The sequence below is a fragment of the Homo sapiens genome, chromosome 12, assembly GCF_000001405.40.
Source record: "Homo sapiens chromosome 12, GRCh38.p14 Primary Assembly".
NCBI classification, from domain to species: Eukaryota; Metazoa; Chordata; class Mammalia; order Primates; family Hominidae; genus Homo; species Homo sapiens.
The window spans coordinates 6981287-7000884 of record NC_000012.12 but is presented as its reverse complement, the minus strand read 5'-3'; the positions used below and the strand labels follow the sequence as shown (position 1 = coordinate 7000884).

At 44.1% G+C, this 19598-nt stretch overlaps 2 protein-coding genes across 2 annotated transcripts in view; one reads left to right on the top strand and one right to left on the bottom strand.

The window, feature by feature from the left end:
• Window positions 1-19598, top strand: part of LPCAT3 (lysophosphatidylcholine acyltransferase 3) — a 42292-nt gene that overhangs the window by 17592 nt on the left and 5102 nt on the right. The window contains exons 2-5 of the mRNA NM_005768.6: window positions 17346-17453; window positions 18103-18209; window positions 18981-19074; window positions 19253-19290. Coding sequence (NP_005759.4) covers window positions 17346-17453; window positions 18103-18209; window positions 18981-19074; window positions 19253-19290 — 347 coding nt within the window. The remainder of the gene's footprint in view (window positions 1-17345; window positions 17454-18102; window positions 18210-18980; window positions 19075-19252; window positions 19291-19598) is intronic.
• EMG1 (EMG1 N1-specific pseudouridine methyltransferase) overlaps window positions 3457-19598 on the bottom strand; it is a 26516-nt gene continuing 10374 nt past the window's right edge. Inside the window, exons 6-8 of the transcript NR_135131.2 lie at window positions 13047-13103; window positions 12516-12717; window positions 3457-3660 (exon numbers count right to left, since the gene is read on the bottom strand). The gene's annotated coding sequence lies outside the window, so the exon portion shown is untranslated. The remainder of the gene's footprint in view (window positions 3661-12515; window positions 12718-13046; window positions 13104-19598) is intronic.

Genomic DNA, 19598 nt, shown 5'->3' with positions numbered 1-19598 from the left:
ATACAAAAAAATTAGCCAGGCGTGGTGGCGGGCACCTGTAGTCCCAGCTACCCAGGAGGCTGAGGCAGGAGAATGGCGTGAACCCGGGAGGCGGAGCTTGCAGTGAGCCGAGATCGCGCCACTGCACTCTAGCCTGGGCGACAGCCGTCTCAAAAAAAGAATACTCAATTTTTAAGAAGTTAGGTGTAGGTATGCTTATATAAAATATTTAGACATGCATAAGTATTTTAAGTGGCCTGAAGGAAGTACATGTATGCTACTTTTGCAAATATTTTCGCTTTTTTTTTTTTTTTTTTTGAGACTGAGTCTCACTCTGTCTCCCAGGCTGGAGTGCAGTGGCGTGATCTCGGCTCACTGCAAGCTCTGCCTCCCGGGTTCACGCCATTCTCCTGCCTCAGCCTCCCGAGTAGCTGGGACTACAGGCATCCGCCACCACGCCCCGGCTTTTTTTTTGTATTTTTAGTAGAGACGGGGCGTCACTGTGTTAGCCAGGATGGTCTCGATCTCCTGACCTCGTGATCTGCCTGTCTCGGCCTCCCAAAGAGCTGGGTGGGCATGAGCCACCGCGCCCGGCCAAATATTTTCACCTTTAAGATGCCCTGCAAGATGGCTGGTATTTTCCCGATTTCAAAGATGAAGAAATTGAGGTTTAACGAATGTAAGTAGGCCAGGCGCGGTGGCTCACGCCTATAATCCCAGCACTTTGGGAGTCTGAGGCGGGCGGATCACCAGAGGTCAGGAGTTCAAGACCAGCCTGACCAACATGGTGAAACCCCATCTCTACTAAAAATACAAAAATTAGCCAGGCATGGTGGCACACGCCTGTAGTCCCAGCTACTTGGGAGGCTGAGGCAGGAGAATTGCTTGAACCTGAGAGGCAGAGGTTTCAGTGAGCCAAGACTGCACTACTGCACTCCAGCCTGAGGAACAGAGCGAGACTCTGTCTCAAAAAAAAAAAAAAAAAAAAAGAATGTAAGTAATTTGCCCAAGCTGCAGAGCTAAATTTTAAACTAGATAATTCTGATTCCAAAGCCCAGATAATCTGGCTAGAAGTTGCACCAGGGGATTCACTGATTTACAAAGAATTAGAATGTGATAAAATTCCCTGAGTACAGGCAAGTGTGATTTTTATCTTTGCTAGTAAAGCCATTTAGATGTCTTAAAGTGCCTCAATCTGTTGCACCTGTTCTACTAAAACAAAGAAATGAGTCAACGGCCTCTTTTAGCTTTAACATTCTCTCTGTCTATACATTTTTATAGAATAATTTTTAGTTATTGCAGCAGGTTTCACCAGTCAGCCAACGGGTGTGTATAACATTAATCACTAGCACTACACCTCAGAAGTCTTGCTTATTAAGAGCACTCAGCTTAAGTGAAGAAATTAAAGAATTTTGGTAGGCCTTTGGGACAGTTCAAGTTTAGGTTGTTTGGCTGGGTTGAGAGAGTAAAAAACTAACATTTCTTAACCTAACCCTTTTTCTTTCTTTCTCACAGGTAACAACTATCCAATAGCTTACCTTTAAAATGTCCCCTCTATTGTTCCTCCCTCAGACATTTTTGATCACTTGTCCCAGTTTCCATGAGTCCTGTATCACAGCTGTCACAATGCTTGAGCTATTTAGGTGGAGGTAACTTTCAGAAATGAACTGCTGAAGGGTGCAGAGTGCTCAAGAATTAGATTAACAAAGAAAGTACACCTAAATTTAGCATTAAAATGAACTTTTAAAATATTTTTCAATAGGAGGATAAGCAAACATAAAAATGGGTGTGCTTATGTCTATAAACAGGTGCTGGAGCATAGATTGTTATCTGGACATCAAAGAATAATAGAGCTGTAGCTTTAAAAGAGCACACAGCTGGTTATTAGTGATTCACTCCCAGGTCACTGCCAAGTGCCAAGGCATGTGGCAAGAATAGTAGAATGGAAATCAGGTGATGTGGATTCTAATTTGAGCTCTGCTCTGTTAACCTTGGGCATGCCAGTTATCCCCTTTGGACCTTAGTCTCTTATCTACCTAATGAAGGGTTTGGAGCAGGTAATTCTTCAGTTCTAAGTAAGAATCTGTATTCATGAATAACTGTTCAGCATATGACTCAGCCCAAGGTGTACAGGATTGCTGGAGTGTGGAAGGTATGTTGGCTCCTGCCTGTACTAGCAACAAGGCTTAATCTAGTGAACAGAAAGGATCAAAGGTGGCTATATCCCCACCTAAATGTCCATGATCTACAAGTGCTCTTCTAGCTGGCAGAGTGGGTCAGTAATGAGATTTTGTATCTCATTATATGAAGTTCTAAGCACTGAACCTAATCAGTTACCCATCACTTAAGTAGACAGTGTCAGGCAGAGCTTAACTCTCCTTCCTATTTTCCTTTGTCTTCCTTTTCTCTGTAAGTTCTCTAACATAAGGAACTTCCATTTTGGTGAAAGAATAGAAAAGTTGAGGGACAGGCCAGGTGTGTTGTAAGTAAGACTGATCCAGCTGATTGGTTTGCCATTTAGATTGCATGGCAGACATCTGCCATAAGCACTTAAAACACACCTTCAATAGGCATTAGAAAGCACACACACGGCCAAACATAGTAGCTCACACCTGTAATGCCAATACTTTGTGAGGCTGAGGCAGGAGGATTGCTTGAGCCCAGCAGTTCAAGACCAGCCTGGGCAATATAGCAAGATGCCATCTCTACAAAAAATTTTAAAATTATCTGAATGTGGTAGTACATTCCTGTGGTCTCAGCTACTCAGGGGTCTGAGGTCGGAAGATCACTTGAGCCCAGGAGATCAAGGCTGCAGTGAGCCATGACTGTGCCATTGCACTCCAGCCTTTGCGACAGAGCAAGACCCTGCCTCAAAACACACACACTGACTAGGGATGGTGGCTTATGCCCAGCACTTTAGGAGGCTGAGGCAGGCAGATCACTTGAGGTCAGGAGTTTAAGACCAGCCTGGCCAACATGGTGAAACCCTACTCTACTAAAAATACAAAAATCAGCCATGCGGCCAGGTGCAGTGGCTCTCGCCTGTAATCCCAGCACTTTGGGAAGCTAAGGCAGGAGGATCACCTGAGGTCAGGAGTTCGAGACCAGCCTGACCAACATGGTGAAATCCTGTCTCTACTAAAAATACAAAATTAGCCCCGTGTGGTGGCGCCTGCCTGTAATCCCAGCTACTTGGGAGGCTGAGGCAGGAGAATCACTTGAACCCAGGAGGCAGAGGTTACGGTGAGCCGAGATCACGCCATTGCACTCCAGCCTGGGCAACAAGAGCGAAACTCCATCTCAAAAAAAAAAAAAGAAAAGAAAATCAGCCATGCATGGTGACACACAGTTGTAATCCCATCTACCTGGGAGGCTGAGGCAGGAGAATCGCTTGAACCTGGGAGGCAGAGGTTGCAGTAAGCCAAGATTGCACCACTGCACTCCAGCCTGGGCAACAGAGTGAGACTGTGTCTTGAAACACACACACACACACACACACACACACACACACACACACACACACACATAATTTGCTGTTGTTTTGGGGGCATGGCGGCACATACCTATAGTCCTAGCTACTTGGGAGGCTCAGGCAGGAGGATCACTTGAACCCAGGAAGTTGAAACTGCAGTGAGCTGTGATTGTGCCGCTGCACTCCAGCCTGGGCAACAGAGTGAAGTACTGTCTCAAGAAAATAAAAAAATAAAGAAATAAAAACATAAGGTTTAGATGGCAACTTTAAAATGTGAAAGGAGGATATACAGTTTTTCAAAATTCTTCTAGGAGCTATGCCAGCAAAAAGGTTTGAAGACCTGAAGACCATTATATCAGTGGCATAAACATCTTTAATTTGTCCTTTTCCTTCTCCTACACCTAGTCAATTGATTTTTTTTTTCCCATTTATCAATTTCAGACTCTGCCTGGTTTTTCACTTTCCCATCCATTTTGTTACAATATTTTTCCTCCCTTGAAATTAGCCCAGTCTCTTGGAGTGAATGCCCCATGCTCCTTCCTACCGCTGTGTCTTTACTACATTATCCTCCCTTGGAATGCCGTCATCTCTTCTCTGTTCAAGAACTACTTCTCCCGACCACTGTGGTCGAGATTGATTTCTCTTTAACCTCTACAACATTGGCTATTCCATACAGTTAGCCCTTAGCATAGAACATCATTGTTTGATTTTGCTCCTTAAGAATAGAAAGCACCTCTTAAAATTCTACCATATTCCCCCAATGCCTAATGCAATGCTAACCACATAGTGAGTGCTTAATAAATATTGTATTGACTGCCTAGAGTACAGAGCACTTGTTCACTCATTGTTCGGCCATTCAGCTAATACTTTTTGAGAAATTTTGTGTACCAGGAACTGTACTATGCACTGGGGTACGGTAGGGACTAAAGTAGATGATAATCCCTGCTTTGAAAGACTGAAAAGTAAGATATATGGTATGTCAAAAGGTAATAAGTACTGAGAAGAAAAATAGAAAAAGCAGGAAAGAAGAACAAGAAGTGTGTGATGGGGGAGGGTTACAGGGTGGGGAGGGGTAGTGTTGTATACACTTCTAGATAAGATAGGGAAGTCCTCACTGATACTTATGGTGACATTTTACAAAGGACCTGAGGTGTAGGAAGGATTTGAGCTTATCTGTGCAAAGAGCCTTCCAGGCAAGGAACTTACCATGTGAAGGCACCAAGGCTGGACCTGCTTAACATTCCAGGAAGGGAAAGCTTTGGGGCTGGAGCAGAAGGGTAGAGGCCAGATTGAGAGATGAGTCAGAGGACAGTGGGGCCCGGGCAGAGGGACAGAACCTGCGGGTGCTGGCAATCAGCCTTTTGATCTGAGTGAGAATAGAGGCCTTGAGAGGGCTTTGAGCAGAGGAGTGACCTGCTGACTTAAGTTGAATAGAACCCTCTAGATGCTTCATTAAGGCTAGACTGAAGGGAGGCAAAGGCAGGGTGAGATCAGTCAGGAGGCAAGTATATAATGATAATACATTGAATATAATAATGATATATTAATAATAATAATCCAGAGATAGTGGCAACTCAGACCAGGGGAAGCAGTAGAGGCGGAGAGAAGTGGTCAGATTTTGGATTTATTTTGAAGGTAGAACAGACAGGATTGCTGACTCTGTTGAGTAGTCAGCTGGGAGCTATTGATGGTTTCTGAGCAGGAGCTGAAGGAAGATTACCCCGGTATAGGACTGCTGGGAAGACGTGGTGCAGGCAGAGATCAGGTAGGAGGCCATTGCAAGGATTTAAGGGTGAGATCCATAAGGGTTTTAACTGCAAATCAGCAGAGGAAAAAGGGAGTGGTGATGGTCATGGTGACAGTGATGGTGAGAGAGACTGGAAAGGAGGAATCAACAGGATTTCATGACTAGATAACAGAGAACCAATATGAAGAAGGAAAACACTTTTTTTTTTTTTTTGAGACGGAGTCTGGCTCTGTTGCCCAGGCTGGAGTACAGTGAGACGATCTCAGCTCACTGCAACCTCCGCCTCCTGGGTTCAAGCGATTCTCCTGCCTCAGCCTCCTGAGTAGCTGGGATTACAGGCATGCACCACCACGCCCGGCTAATTTTTGTATTTTTAGTAGAGATGGGGTTTCACCATGTTGGTCAGGCTGGTCTTGAACTCTTGACCTGGTGATCCGCCTGCCTTGGCCTCCCAAAGTGCTGGGATTACAGACGTGGAGCCACCATGCCCTGGCAGGAAAACACACTTTTGAATGTTGTGTGACCTGGAGAATGGTAACACTGTTAATTTAAAAAAAAAAAAAAAGCCCAGAGAAGGCTGATTTAGGGAGAAATTTATGCCTTAGTTATACAGAGTTTGAGATGGTAATGAAATATCAAATTAAAACTGTCCAGCAAGGAAGTAGGAAATGTGGAACTGAAAAAGAAGTTAGAACTAAAGATGTGGATCTGTCTTTGGCATAAAGATTATATTAAGTTACTTGAGAGTAGATGAGTTTCCAAAGAAGCAGTGTAGCAAGAATAGTGGAGGGCCAAGACTGGATCCTGGGGGTCAGCAACATCTAGGAGCCAGAAAAAATGCCTTCGGTGAAAGAAACGGAAAGATGGGTCTATTCAAATTGTAGTCAGCCAACCCATGCCAGAAGTAAGCACAGAAAGTAAGAGTGAACATTGGCCAAGCACAGTGGCTGATGCCTGTAATCCCAACACTTTGGGAGGCCAAGGCGGGCAGATTGCTTGAGCTCAGGAGTTCGAGACCAGCCTGAGCAACATGGTGAAACTCCAACTCTACAAGAAATTAGCCGGTCCTGTGCACACCTGTAGTCCCAGCTGCTAGGGAGGCTCAGGTGGGAGGATCACTTGAACCTAGAAAGTTGAGGCTGCAGTGAGCTGTGAGCATGCCACTGCACTCCAGCGTGGGCAACAGCCCGGTGGCTCACGCCTGTAATCCCAGCACTTTGGGACGCCAAGGCAGGTCGATCACTTGAGGTCAGGAGTTCGAGACTAGCCTGGCCAACATGGAGAAACCCCATCTCTACTGAAAATACAAAAATTAGCTGGGCATGGTGGTGCACACCTGTAATCCCAGCTACTCGGGAGGCTGAGACAGGAGAATCACTTGAACCTGGGAAGCGGAGGTTGCCGTGAGCCAAGATCATGCCACTGCACTTCAGCCTGGACAACACAGAGAGACTCTGTCCCAAAGGGAAAAAAAAGAAAAAGATCCAGGAGATCCATTCCTAGGTATATACCCAAGAGAATTGAAAACATAAAAACATATGTTCACACAAAAACTTGTACATGGGCTCATACCTGTAATTGCAGCACTCTGGGAGGCCAAAGCAGGAGGATCATTTGAGGCCAGGAGTTCAAGACCGGCCTAGGCAACATAGTGAGACCCTGTCTCTACAAAATGCATGAATGTTTGTAGCAGCATTCTTCATAATGTTCCTAAAGTGGAAACAACCCAGTTGTTTGTCAGCTGATGAATGGGTAGATTATATGCAGAGTATCCAGGCTGGGCGTAGTGGCTCATGCCTGCAATCCTAGCACTTTGGGAAGCTGAGGTGGACAGATCATTTGAGCTCAGGAATTCAAGACCAGCCTGAGCAACATAGTGAGACCTTGTCTATAAAAAATTTTTAAATGTTAAAAAAAAGAATGCAGAGTATCCATACAACGGGATATTATTCAGCCATAAACAGGAATGAAGTACTGATACATGCTACAACATGGATGAACCTTGAAAACATGCTAAGTGAAATAAGCCAGACACAAAGGTCTACACATTGCCTGACGCCATTTATATGAAACACCTAGAATAGGCCAATCTATAGAGACATAAAGTAGATGAATGGTTGCCAGGCTCTGGGAGTTAAGAGAGAATGGGAAATGACTGCCAACATGTATGGGGTTTCTACTTGAGGTGATGAAGATATTCTGAAATTAGATAGATAGTGGGGATGGCTGCACAACCTTTTTTTTTTTTCTTTTTGAGATGGAGTCTCGCTCTGTTGCCAGGCTGGAGTGCAGTGGCGCAATCTCAGCTCACTGCAATCTCTGCCTCCTGGGTTCAAGCAATTCTCCTCCCTCAGCCTCCTGAGTAGCTGGGACTACAGGCAGGCACCACCACGCCCAGCTAATTTTTTGTTAGTAGAGACAGGGTTTCACCATGTTGGCCAGGATGGTCTTGATCTCCTGACCTCGTGATCTGCCCTCCTCCGGCTCCCAAAGTGCTGGGATTACAGGCATAAGCCACCATGCCCGGCGACAACCTTTTGAATATACTAAAAAACATTACATTTTACACTTTGAAGGGTGAATTTTATGGTAAATTATATCTCAGTAGAAAAAAATCCAGGAAACTGTGTATAGTCAGCCCTCCATATTTGTGGGTTCCACATTCATGGATTCTAAGCTAAATAATAATACAATAATAAAAATATAAATAAAAAACAATATGCTATATAGCAGCTATTTGCATTGCATTTACATTATATTAGGTATTATGAGTAATCCAGAGATGATTTAAAGTGTATGTGAAGATGTGCATAGGTTACATGCAATACTACACCATATTATATAAGGGACTTGAGCATCTGTGGTGTCTGCTGCGAGTACTAGAACCAATCCTTCATGGACACCAAGAGATAACTGTATTCAAAACCAATGAAACCAGTGAAAGAGAAGTTTCAAAAAGATTGAAAACACAGCAGGGCAGTCAAGGAAACCAGGGAGAAAGGAAAGACTAGTGGATTTGGGTATTAGAAGATGAAAGATTAAAACAAATCATTCCATATCAGCATGCAGTCCATAGACTACTCCTAAAAGTTCCTGAGACTTCTTTAAGGAATCTCTTTGGGGTAAAAATTATTTTCATGATACTACTAAGATGTATTTGTCTTTTCCCTATGTTGACACTTGCACTGATGTTGCAAAATGGTGGTAAAACTGCTGGCGCCTTAGCACAAATCAGGACGGTGACACCAAACTGTACCAGTGGTCACTGCATTCTTTACTGCCATGCACTCACAATCAAAACAGAGCCAGTTTCACTTAAGAATCGTTGATGAAGTGGTAAATTTTTTTTGTTTTTTTTTTTTGAGGCAGGGTCTTACCCAGGCTAGAGTGCGGTGGGGGCATCACAGCTCACTGCCGCCTCAACTTCCTGGGCTCAGGTGATGCTACCTCAGCCTCCTGAGTAGCTGAGGCTACAGGTGTGCACCACCACACCTGGCTAATTTTTGTTTTTGTTTTGTTTTGTTTTGTTTTTAGAGATGGGGTTTCACTCTGTCGCCCAGGCTAAATATTGTTAATTGTATCAAATGTCAGTCCTTGAATAAATCTTTTTTTTTTAACTGGTATGCACCACCACACCCAGCTAATTTTTGTATTTTTAGTAGAGACGGGGTTTCGCCATGTTGGCCAGGCTGGTCTGGAACTCCTGACCTAAAGTGATCTACCCGTCTTGGCCTCCCAGAGTGCTGGGAGGTGTGGGCCACCATGCCTGATCCTGAGTACATCTTTTTAAACTTGTTTGAAGAAATGGGAAATATGCATAAACCGCCTCTGCTGCACACTGGTAGAGTACGGTGGTTGTCACAAGGAAAAGCATTTGGGCGATTATTCAAGTTGCATATTGATTTAGCAGCTTCTTTTTTCACCGACCACCATTTTTACTTGAAAGAATGATAGACAAACTATGGTTTTAGACTTAGGCATCTGGCAGACAGTCTCTTGAAACTGTATGAAGTGAGCCTGTCACTTCAAGGTAAACAAATGACAATATTTGTAGCCAGTGATAAAATTTACACTTTCAAGTAAAAATTAGAATTTTGGAAAACTTGTATCCACTCCCATGAGCTTGACCACTTTTCAATATATACAGACTTTTCTGCTGAAATCAATGGTGAAATTTAAGGAATATGATTTTTTGATATGTATTCTAATGAAATATGTCAGTATTTAGAAGATCTGCCTAACAACAGGGAACCAGTATTTTGCAGTGATCTATGTGTGATGTTACAAAGTCATGCATGGTAAAATATCCATTCAAAGTGCAAGAGAAGCCAATGGGTTTTATTATAACAAAAGTTCCTAACTGTTAAGAAACTACTACTTGTCAAGTTTTGATGTAGCGCTAAAGAATATCCAAAATTATCTGAAAATGCAGATACTTTCTCTGTCTGTGTAAAGCCAGATTTTCTTTGTATATTTTAACCAAACTAACATATTACAACAGATTAAATGCAGAAGCAGATTTGAGAATCCAGTCATCTTCTATTAAGTCAGACAGAGGCCATAAATTTATGAAAATGTAAAACAGTGGCATTCTTCTCATTAGATGGCTTTATTTCTTTGATTGTTTTGGGAAATATAGTGGTTTACATTTAAAGTATGTTATTTATATTAATATAATGTGTAGTAGTTTTACTGTTAATATTTTTACTGAATTAATCATATCTTTTACTTTTTTTTTAGTTTTATTTTCTTCCTTTTTTTTTTTTTTTTGATTTGGAGTCTCGCTCTGTTGCCTAGTCTGGAGCACAGTGGCGTGATCTCAGCTCACTACAACCCCCACCTCCTGGGTTCAAGCGATTCTCCTGCCTCAGCCTCCCAAGTAGCTGGGATCACAGGCGCCTGCCACCATGTCTGGCTGGTTTTTGTATTTTTAGTAGGGTTTCACCATGTTGGCCAGGATGGTCTCAAACTCCTGACCTCAAGTGATCCACCCACCTCGGCCTCCCAAAGCATTGGGATTACAGGAGTGAGCCACCACACCCAGTTTTTAGTCTTATTTTCTAACACAGTAGACATTGATATATAGTTCCCACATTAACAAAAGTTGTTTGGGGTGCTCAATTTATTTATTTATTTATTTATTTATTTATTTATTTATTTTATTTTAATTTTCTTTTTGAGGCGGAGTCTCACTGTGTCGCCCAGGCTGGAGTGCAGTGGCACAATCTCGGCTCACTGCAAGCTCTGCCTCCCAGGTTCACACCATTCTCCTGCCTCAGCCTCCCGAGTAGCTGGGGCTACAGGTGCCCGCCACCACACCCGGCTAATTTTTTGTATTTTTAGTAGAGACAGGGTTTCACCATGTTAACCAGGATGGTCTCGATCTCCTGACCTCGTGATCCGCCCGCCTCAGCCTCCCGAAGTGCTGGGATTACAGGCATGAGCCACCGTGCCCCGCTTATATTTTTTTTATTTTTATTTATTTATTTATTTATTTTTGAGACAGGGTCTCAAAAAAAACAACTTTGTTGCCCAGGCTGGAGTGCAGTGGCATCATCGTAGCTCATTGTAGCTTCTGTCTCCCCAGACTCAGGTGATCCTCCTGCCTCAGCCTCTCAAGTAGCTGGGACTACAGGCACGCACCACCCACCCCACCCAACTATTTTTTTTATTTTTTGTAGAGACAGAGTCTTGCTATGTTGCCCAGGCTGGTCTCAAACTCCTGGGTTCCAGTGATTCTCCCGTCTCAGCCTCCCAAAGCACTGGGATTACAGGTGTGAGCCACCACTCCCAGCCAAATTTACCAGACTTAATGGAAACAGTCCATTTCTGTTTCTTCAGATGAAACCTCACAACTTTAGGATTAATAAGTAATCTCACAACTATTGTACAGGAAATAAGAAAACGTTCCCGCTAACAATGCACGTTGTGATAGATCTGGTCCCTGACACAAACAGCACTTGGAACTGAGTGAAGTCCAGAGACTGAATAATACAGTTCTATCCACTCCCTGTGCTTGACTACAACCCCTGAAGAGGGCTTGTACAAATTAAATGTATCCCAGCAGCTGCTTGAAAGACCACAGCATTGGCCGGGCACGGTGACTCACGCTTGTAATCCCAGCACTTTGGGAGGCCGAGGCGGGCGGATCACGAGGTCAGGAGATCGAGACCACGGTGAAACCCTGTCTCTACTAAAAATACAAAAAATTAGCTGGGCGTGATGGCGGGCGCCTGTAGTCCCAGCTACTCGGAGAGGCTGAGGCAGGAGAATGGCGTGAACCCGGGAGGCGGAGCTTGCAGTGAGCCGAGATTGCACCACTGCACTCCAGCCTGGGCGACAGAGACTCTGTCTCAAAAAAAAAAAAAAAAAACACGCATTTTGAATGTCCCTAGCATTAGGGATTATAAAGGTCCCATTCTAGTAGAAGATCCTCAGGTTTGGAGTGTACTAAAGGTCATCATCCTTCGCCTGCTAATAAATTTCTGAAGTCCCTGCTTTAAACAAACAATCAAAAAGAAGGAACAGTTACAGTGCTGCCAAACAAGTTCTTTTTTTTTTTTTGAGATGGAGTTTCGCTCTTGTTGCCAGGCTGGAGTGCAATGGCGTGATCTCGGCTCACCACAACCTCCACCTCCCAGGTTCAAGCAATTCTGCCTCAGCCTCCCGAGTAGCTGGGATTACAGGCATGCACTACCACGCCCAGCTAATTTTGTATTTTTTTTAGTAGAGACAGGGTTTCTCCATGTTGAGGCTAGTCTCAAACTCCTGACCTCAGGTGATCCGCCTGCCTCGGCCTCCCAAAGTGCTGGGATTACAGGCGTGAGCCACGGCGCCCGGCCAACAAGTTCTTACAAACCTCTGGGTTGTTACAAACCCATCTGGTGCTAATAAAGGTAAGGCATCAACCCCAATCTCCAAGCTGAGAATTTTATCCTCAGGACTGAGCACTGCGGCCTGCATTCGGATGTTAGTGGGGCTGTCAGAACCGTGTCTCATGCTGTTAAAAGTGGAAGTCCTTCCCACTCAGACCCACGGAAGCCAACTCTGATGAGTGGGAGGGTGAGCAGAAGGGGCTTCGGTCATTTTTTATAGATTCTTCAGGTAACTCTAGCCACCATATTAAGCATTGGCTCCCACAAAAAAGCATTAAGGCTCAGAAACATCTTGTAGGGTCACACCCTCCCTAAAAACAGCACATCCCTGAAGTGGTGGCTGGGCAGCCAGGCTCCAAAGCCCGCTGAGCTGAGCGGCAGCCAAGAACAAGGTTTGGTGTTTACATACTCAAAATCAGCCTGGGTTGTCACAGCAACTCACCTCAGCACAGTTCTTCCTTCTCCACGGCGGCTTGCTTCCAGGCTTTGCTGTTCTCCGTCACCGTCTTAACGTTCCTGCTAACCTGGCCTGCTGCATTCTTTTTATTTTTCTCCCAATTCCTCCGCCTTCTTCTCATGTGTTTGCTAGTGTGCAATACCTCACCTGTTTGGAACTCAACAACGTCCCCTCCTGCAAAACGCACCTGAAAACAAGAAATAGCACACAAGGCCTCTAAGTGGCCAGAACAGATGTTACCAGGCCTAAGTCCATAAGGAAAGCACCCAAGCCCCTTGCTTTTGTCTTAAATCTTTTTTTTTTTACACCTTTAAAATAAGGTTATGGTTTCTAAGGCCTGCCGTAAATTAGGAGTAGGGAGAGGAACTATTGCCAAGCACCCCAAAAGTTCAAGAGGTGACTGTTGATCCCAGAGTAGCAAGGAAAGGGACAGACAGGCTATAAGAAGTGGACACAAGAACTCAGAACTCAGGACAGTGTAGGCCTTGTTAGAGTCAGGCAGACAATTTCACATACCTCAGAACGTCATAAAGCCATCATGACTTTACTCTGGAATAGATACGATCCAGACACCTAGAAAATGTTAAATTAGATTCAACTTAAAGAGGCAGAGTAATATGTGTGGTGTTTTTTAATTTCGAGCATTCCAAATGGTTAAGGGTTTTCATGCTTAAAGAGAGAAACTTAGCTACCTAGAACTTATTTATGAGTGCTCTAGATAATTATCTACTGTTTTATATTTTTTTATTTATACCCCGTTACTAAAACAAAAGTAAAAATAAAGCAAAAGATTGAAGGCATTGACATTTAGTCTATATACTTTCTAGTTCCTGGCTCTAGTTCTTAGCAATATTTGCTGCTAACCTGGTGTTCTGTCTCTGCCAAATTTCTGCCCATGTGAAATATATGAGACTTGATCCTATTTCCTTGCTCATTGATCTACCTGAAAGGGTCATAGATGTCTCCACCTCCCTAGAGCTAGTGATCCTATATCCCATCATCTCAGCCAGCTAGAAAACGAACCATCACATGCCACCTCCTACCCAATTACGTGCTTCATAAACAGAATACCTGGCATATAGCAGGCATTTACTAAACACTTGGTGAATGAATACATGAGCCAGTAATCCATAAGATATCTGTAGAATTAATTACAGTTGAGCCTTGAACAGCGCAGGTCCTATGGGATCCCACCCCTTGTACAGTCAAAAATCCTCATAAAACTTTTTTTTCTTTTTTTTTTGAGACAGAATCTTGCTCGTTGCCCAAGCTGGAGTGCAATGGCGTGATCTCAGCTCACTGCCACCTCCGCCTCCTGGGTTCAAGCAATTCTCCTGCCTCAGCTTCCCAAGTAGGTGGGATTACAGGTGCCTGCACCACGCCTAACTAATTTTTGTATTTTTAGTAGAGATGGGGTTTCACCATGTTGGCCAGGCTCGTCTCAAACTCCTGATCTCAGGCGACCCACCCGCCTAAGCCTCCCAAAGTAGGGGATTACAGGTGTGAGCTGCCGCACCCGGCCGACAGGTGTAACTTTTTTTTTTTTTTTTTTTTTTTTTGAGACAGAGTCTCACTCTGTCACCAGGCTGGAGTGCAGTGGCTCTCTCTGCTCACTGCAATCTCTGCTCACTGCAACCTCTGCCTCCCAGGTTCAAGCGATTCCCCTGCCTCAGCCTCCTGAGTAGCTGGGACTACAGGTGTGTGCCACCATGCCCAGCTAATTTTTTGTATTTTAGTAGAGACGGAATTTCACCATGTTAGCCAGGATGGTCTCGATTTCCTGACCTCGTGATCCACCTGCTTCAGCCTCCCAAAGTGCTGAGATTACAGGCATGAGCCACCACACCCGGCCACATATAACTTTTGACTCTCCAAAAACTTAACTACTAATAGAAGACTTACCAATAGCATAAACAAGTTGATTAACATATATTTTGTATGTCATTTGTGTTATATATGTATTTCTTACCATAAAGTAAACTATAGAAAAGAAAATGTTATTAAGAGAATCATAAGCAAGAAAAAATATGTTTACTCTTCATTCAGTGGAAGTGGATCAGCATAAAGGTCTTCCTCCTCATGATCTTCAGGTTGAGCAGGCAAGGAGGAGGAGAAAGAGAAAGGGTTGCCATCTCAGCAGTGGCAGAGGCAGAGGGAAGTCTAAGGGGACCCTTGCTGTTCAAAATTGTGTTGATCAAGGGTCAACTATACTTGCATGAAGCTATAAATTTAAGAGCCTAGCCTATTATGGGAACAGCAATTAAAAAAAAAACACCAGTTGGCCGGGCGTGGTGGCTCACGCCTGTAATCCTAGCACTTTGGGAGGCCAAGGCAGGTGGATCACCTGAGGTCAGGAGTTCGAGACCAGCCTGGCCAACATGGTGAAATACCGTCTCTACTAAAAATACAAAAATTCACTGGGCATGGTGGCGGGCACCTGTAATCCCAGCTACTTGGGAGGCTGAAGCAGGAGAATCGCTTGAACCTAGGGGCCGGAGGTTGCAGTGAGCTGCCAAGATCGTGCCATTGCACTCTCCAGCCTGGGTAAAAACAGCTAAACTCCATCTCAAAAAAAAAAAAAAACACCAGTTGATCCTGGCACCAGGAAGATCAAATGGCATTTGTTTGTTTGTTTGTTTTGAGACAGAGTCTCGCTCTGTTGCCCAAGCTGGAGTGCAATGGCACGATCTCAGCTCACTGCAAACTCTGCCTCCCAGGTTCAAGTGATTCTCCTGCCTCAGCCTCCCGAGTAGCTGGGATTACAGGCACCCGCCACCACACCCAGCTAATTTTTTATATTTTTGGTAGAGATGGGGTTTCACCATGTTGGCCAGTATGGTCTCAAACTCCGGATCTCAAGTGATCCACCCACCTCAGCCTCCCAAAGTGCCTTGGTTTACAGGCGTGAGCCACTGCACCAGCCAGTACAGTTTTTTGTTTTGTTTTATTTTGGTTTTTTGAGACGGAATCTCGCTCTGTCGCCCAGGCTGGAGTGCAGTGGTGCCATCTCAGCTCACTGCAAGCTCCGCCTCCCGTGTTCATGCCATTCTCCTGCCTCAGCCTCCCTAGTAGCTGGGACTATAGGCGCCCGCCACCACACCCGGCTAATTTTTTTTTTTGTATTTTTAGTAGAGACGGGGTTTCACCGTGTTAGCCAGGATAGTCTCGATCTCCTGTCCTCATGATCCGCCCGTCTCAGCCTCCCATAGTGCTGGGATTACAGGCATGAGCCACCGCGCCCAGCCTTTTTTTTTTTTTTTTTTTTAATGTATGGGGGAAAAATGACTAGAAGGACAGAAACCAACATATAACATGATTGTGTGCATTTACTTATTTAACAAATAATTGAGCAATTTATTTCTGTATGATACTATTCTAAGCGTTTTAGAGTTAAGCAAACTCACAGTAAACTGTATTGCCCATGATAAAAACTGCAGTTACATAATTTAAAAGCAAGAATCGCAGCAATTCATCAGGCACAGTGACTCACGCCTGTAATCCCAACACTTTGGGAGGCCAAGGCAGGAAGATTCCTTGAGCCCAGGAGGTCAAGGCCAGCCTGGGCAACATAGTGAGAACTCATGTCCACAAAAATTACAAAATAGCCAGGCATGGTGGCAAGCACCTGTGGTCCCAGCTACTCAAGAGGCTGAAGTTGGAGGATCACTTGAGCCCAGGAGGTCAAGGCTGCAGTGAGCGATGATCGTGCCACTGCACTCCAGCCTGGGTGACAGAGCAAGAGACCCTGTCTCAAAATAAATAAAAATAAAAGCAAGAATTGCAGAAAGTATAAACCATGACCAACTCAAGAGAATAATCAATGAAAGAATAGGCAGAATGTCTTTCCAAAAAGCAGTTGAGAGATCCCCATCCTCCACATATGCACTAGTGCAGTGGGGATGTTGCCAGGCATGGCCGCCAGACCTCTAGATAGAACACTGAAGGTGAGTCTGCAGTAAAGCCATGGAATGTGCTAATTTTAGTTTAGGAATACCAAATTTTATTGACCGTTTTTAATTCAATAAGCAACCCTTGGCCATGTATAATCAGTTCATGACCCATCAGAAGATCCTCTGTGGTTCACTCATGGCCTTTGGACTATACTCTGAATCATGGCTTTAGAAGACATTTTTTTAGTATACTTAAATGGATTTTATAACTTGGTTGATGCCCAGATTACAGACTGTGAGGAGTATCTCCACATAACTTGTAACTGCTATATATGCAGTCAGCAATTCCAGTATTTAGCCTGATATTAATTTATATTTTTCCTCATAATCTGATAATACAGTGCTAGCAAGATAGATCACAAAGTGTAAATGAGTGTTTCTGGAGCATAGATGGGTACGCTCAAATCTTTGTATCTTGTTTTTTAATAGAGACGGGGTTTCGCTATGTTGCTCAGGCTGGTGTCGAACTCCTCGGCTCAAGCAATCCCCTTGCCTCAGCCTCCCAGAGTGCTGGGATTATACATGGGAGCCACCATGCCTAGCTTCCTTGTATCATTTTTTAAAATTCAAGTAAGAGAAAATGTCTGGCAATAGTTCATAAGCTATAAATGAAACCTAGTCTTAGGACCCAGCTTTATATTGCCTCAATCAAATATTAATATCTTTAGTTCAAAATTTGTATTTACAAAAAACTTTTGGTTCTTGGGGATACCGTTATTGCCTTCTCTGTTGCCATCCATATAATGTATGTTGTTTTTTTTTTCTCTCTCCCTCTGGGCTGCGTTTCATGCCAGATAAACTTCCAAACCAAACTGGGATGGCACCAGGCACAAATAACACTCTTCTTATCTTTTCCCCCATCTAGGTTACCCCTTTGCTTTGTTTTATCGGCATTACCTTTTCTACAAGGAGACCTACCTCATCCACCTCTTCCATACCTTTACAGGCCTCTCAATTGCTTATTTTAACTTTGGTGAGTAAACTAAATTAGCAGTGACACCGCAATTAGTGGGAACCTGGAAGGAACAGACTTGAACAAAATTTCCTTGAGAGAATCTAATAGGTAGGGAAGTTATAATGCTCCCACTTGCAAAGAGGGTTGTATGAAGAGGAACACAGCTTAACTTTTCCTTTTTTTCTTTTATGTACATTCTTCTGTCAGATAAAAACATTTTGAGGGTGGTTACCCTTGCCATACCTCATCAACAAAGAATCCTCAGTTTCTCTGTGCTGTGGATGTAACTGAATGACCGAGCCAAGCAGTCCCCACTTAGATTCATTCTTCACTTCAGACATTCAAAAATACAGTAACAAGCTGGGTGTGGTAGCCCGGAATTCAAGGCTGCAGTGAGCTATGATTGAGCTACTGCACTCAAGTCTGGACAACAGAGCAAGTCGCATCTCTAAAAAAACAAACAAAAAAAGAAAAGAAATAAAATAACACCCTAATAATCTTTTTTATTTTAATAAATAATTTCCATCCTCTCCTCCAAAACATGAGGTTATTCTGAAAAAAAAGATCCTGATGCCAACATTTTTTCTTTATATATTACGTTGTGATTGGAAGTCTCAGGACGGTGGGAGTGTAAAAACCAGGCTAAATTCTCTCTTCTTGCATCCAGGAAACCAGCTCTACCACTCCCTGCTGTGTATTGTGCTTCAGTTCCTCATCCTTCGACTAATGGGCCGCACCATCACTGCCGTCCTCACTACCTTTTGCTTCCAGATGGTAAACGTCTTTCCCTTAGCAGCTCAGGCTACAGCTGACAGCGGTTCAGGGGACAGGGGTAGGCAGGGGACTGTGGTATAGAAATTAGCAGACCTAATTTCTAACCCCTCTCCCAGCACTTAGCAGTATGACTTCAGGTAGGTGGCTTATCACAGGCCCAAGTGTTCCATCCACAGATTGTAATGGTAACTCTTTGCCTGCCTCAAGGAAGGGCCACCAGCTAACCCTTTGCATACTGTGCCATTAGGCTCTTTGGTTTAACCCACTATCCAGGAGCAGAGTCACTTCAAGGCAAGACAGAAAAGCAACTTAGAATGAGTTAAAGAACCTAAGCCTAGGCCAGGCAAAGTGGCTCACACCTGTAATCCCAGCACCTTGGGAGGCCAAGGCAGTCAGATTGCTTGAGCCCAGGAGTTTGAGACTAACCCGGGCAACATGGTGAAACCCCATCTCTACAAAAAAAATACAAAAATTAGCCCTCCAGCCTGGGCAACATGGTGAAACAAAAAAAATTAAAAATTAGCCGGGTGGGGTGGCATGCACCTGTGGTCCCAGCATCTAAATTCTCATCTCAGTTTAGCCCTCATTTTGCCAAGAAGCCTTGAGCAACGCTCTTCCCATTACAGGTTTTCAGCACCTCCATTTGTAGGAATTTATTAAGGCTTTTAATGATGGGATGAGGAGAAAGGAAAAAGGAAAGAGAACATTGAATTTCAGAGCAAGGAGAAGAAATAGTAGTGATGCTAGAATAAATACTTCTGCCTCTCCTAGGCCTACCTTCTGGCTGGATACTATTACACTGCCACCGGCAACTACGATATCAAGTGGACAATGCCACATTGTGTTCTGACTTTGAAGCTGATTGGTGAGTGATGGTCACTGCCTGCCTTCCTTACATGTAGGTCCCTCCCCCATCTCACTAAAAACTTCCTCGGCACCCCCCCTCCGCCCCCCGCCATACACTTCTGGCTGCACTCAGTCTACAGGCCACATCCTCAGTGTCCTCTCCCACCACCCTACCCATCCGTTCTCTCTCTGCTCAGGTTTGGCTGTTGACTACTTTGACGGAGGGAAAGATCAGGTAAGTACCCATTCATCGGCAGAGAGGTTCAAGACTTAATGAAAGGGAAGAAAAAAGTTGTTAACAAAAGACTGAACCCAAATTCCAGAGCGGAGCCTCTCCCTCATTCCCCAGCCTGTGCAATCTCCCTTTCAGATAGCACTGAGCAAGGATCAACAAATCTAATTTGCCCAGGATCCAGCTCTTGCACAAAGTCCAGAGATCAATGCCAGCAAGGCATTTGCTAAAGCAGCAACAGCCAGCTATGCACACACATACGCATTTCCACAAGAAGCAACTATTTGTCATCCCCCAAAGAGAAGGCTATT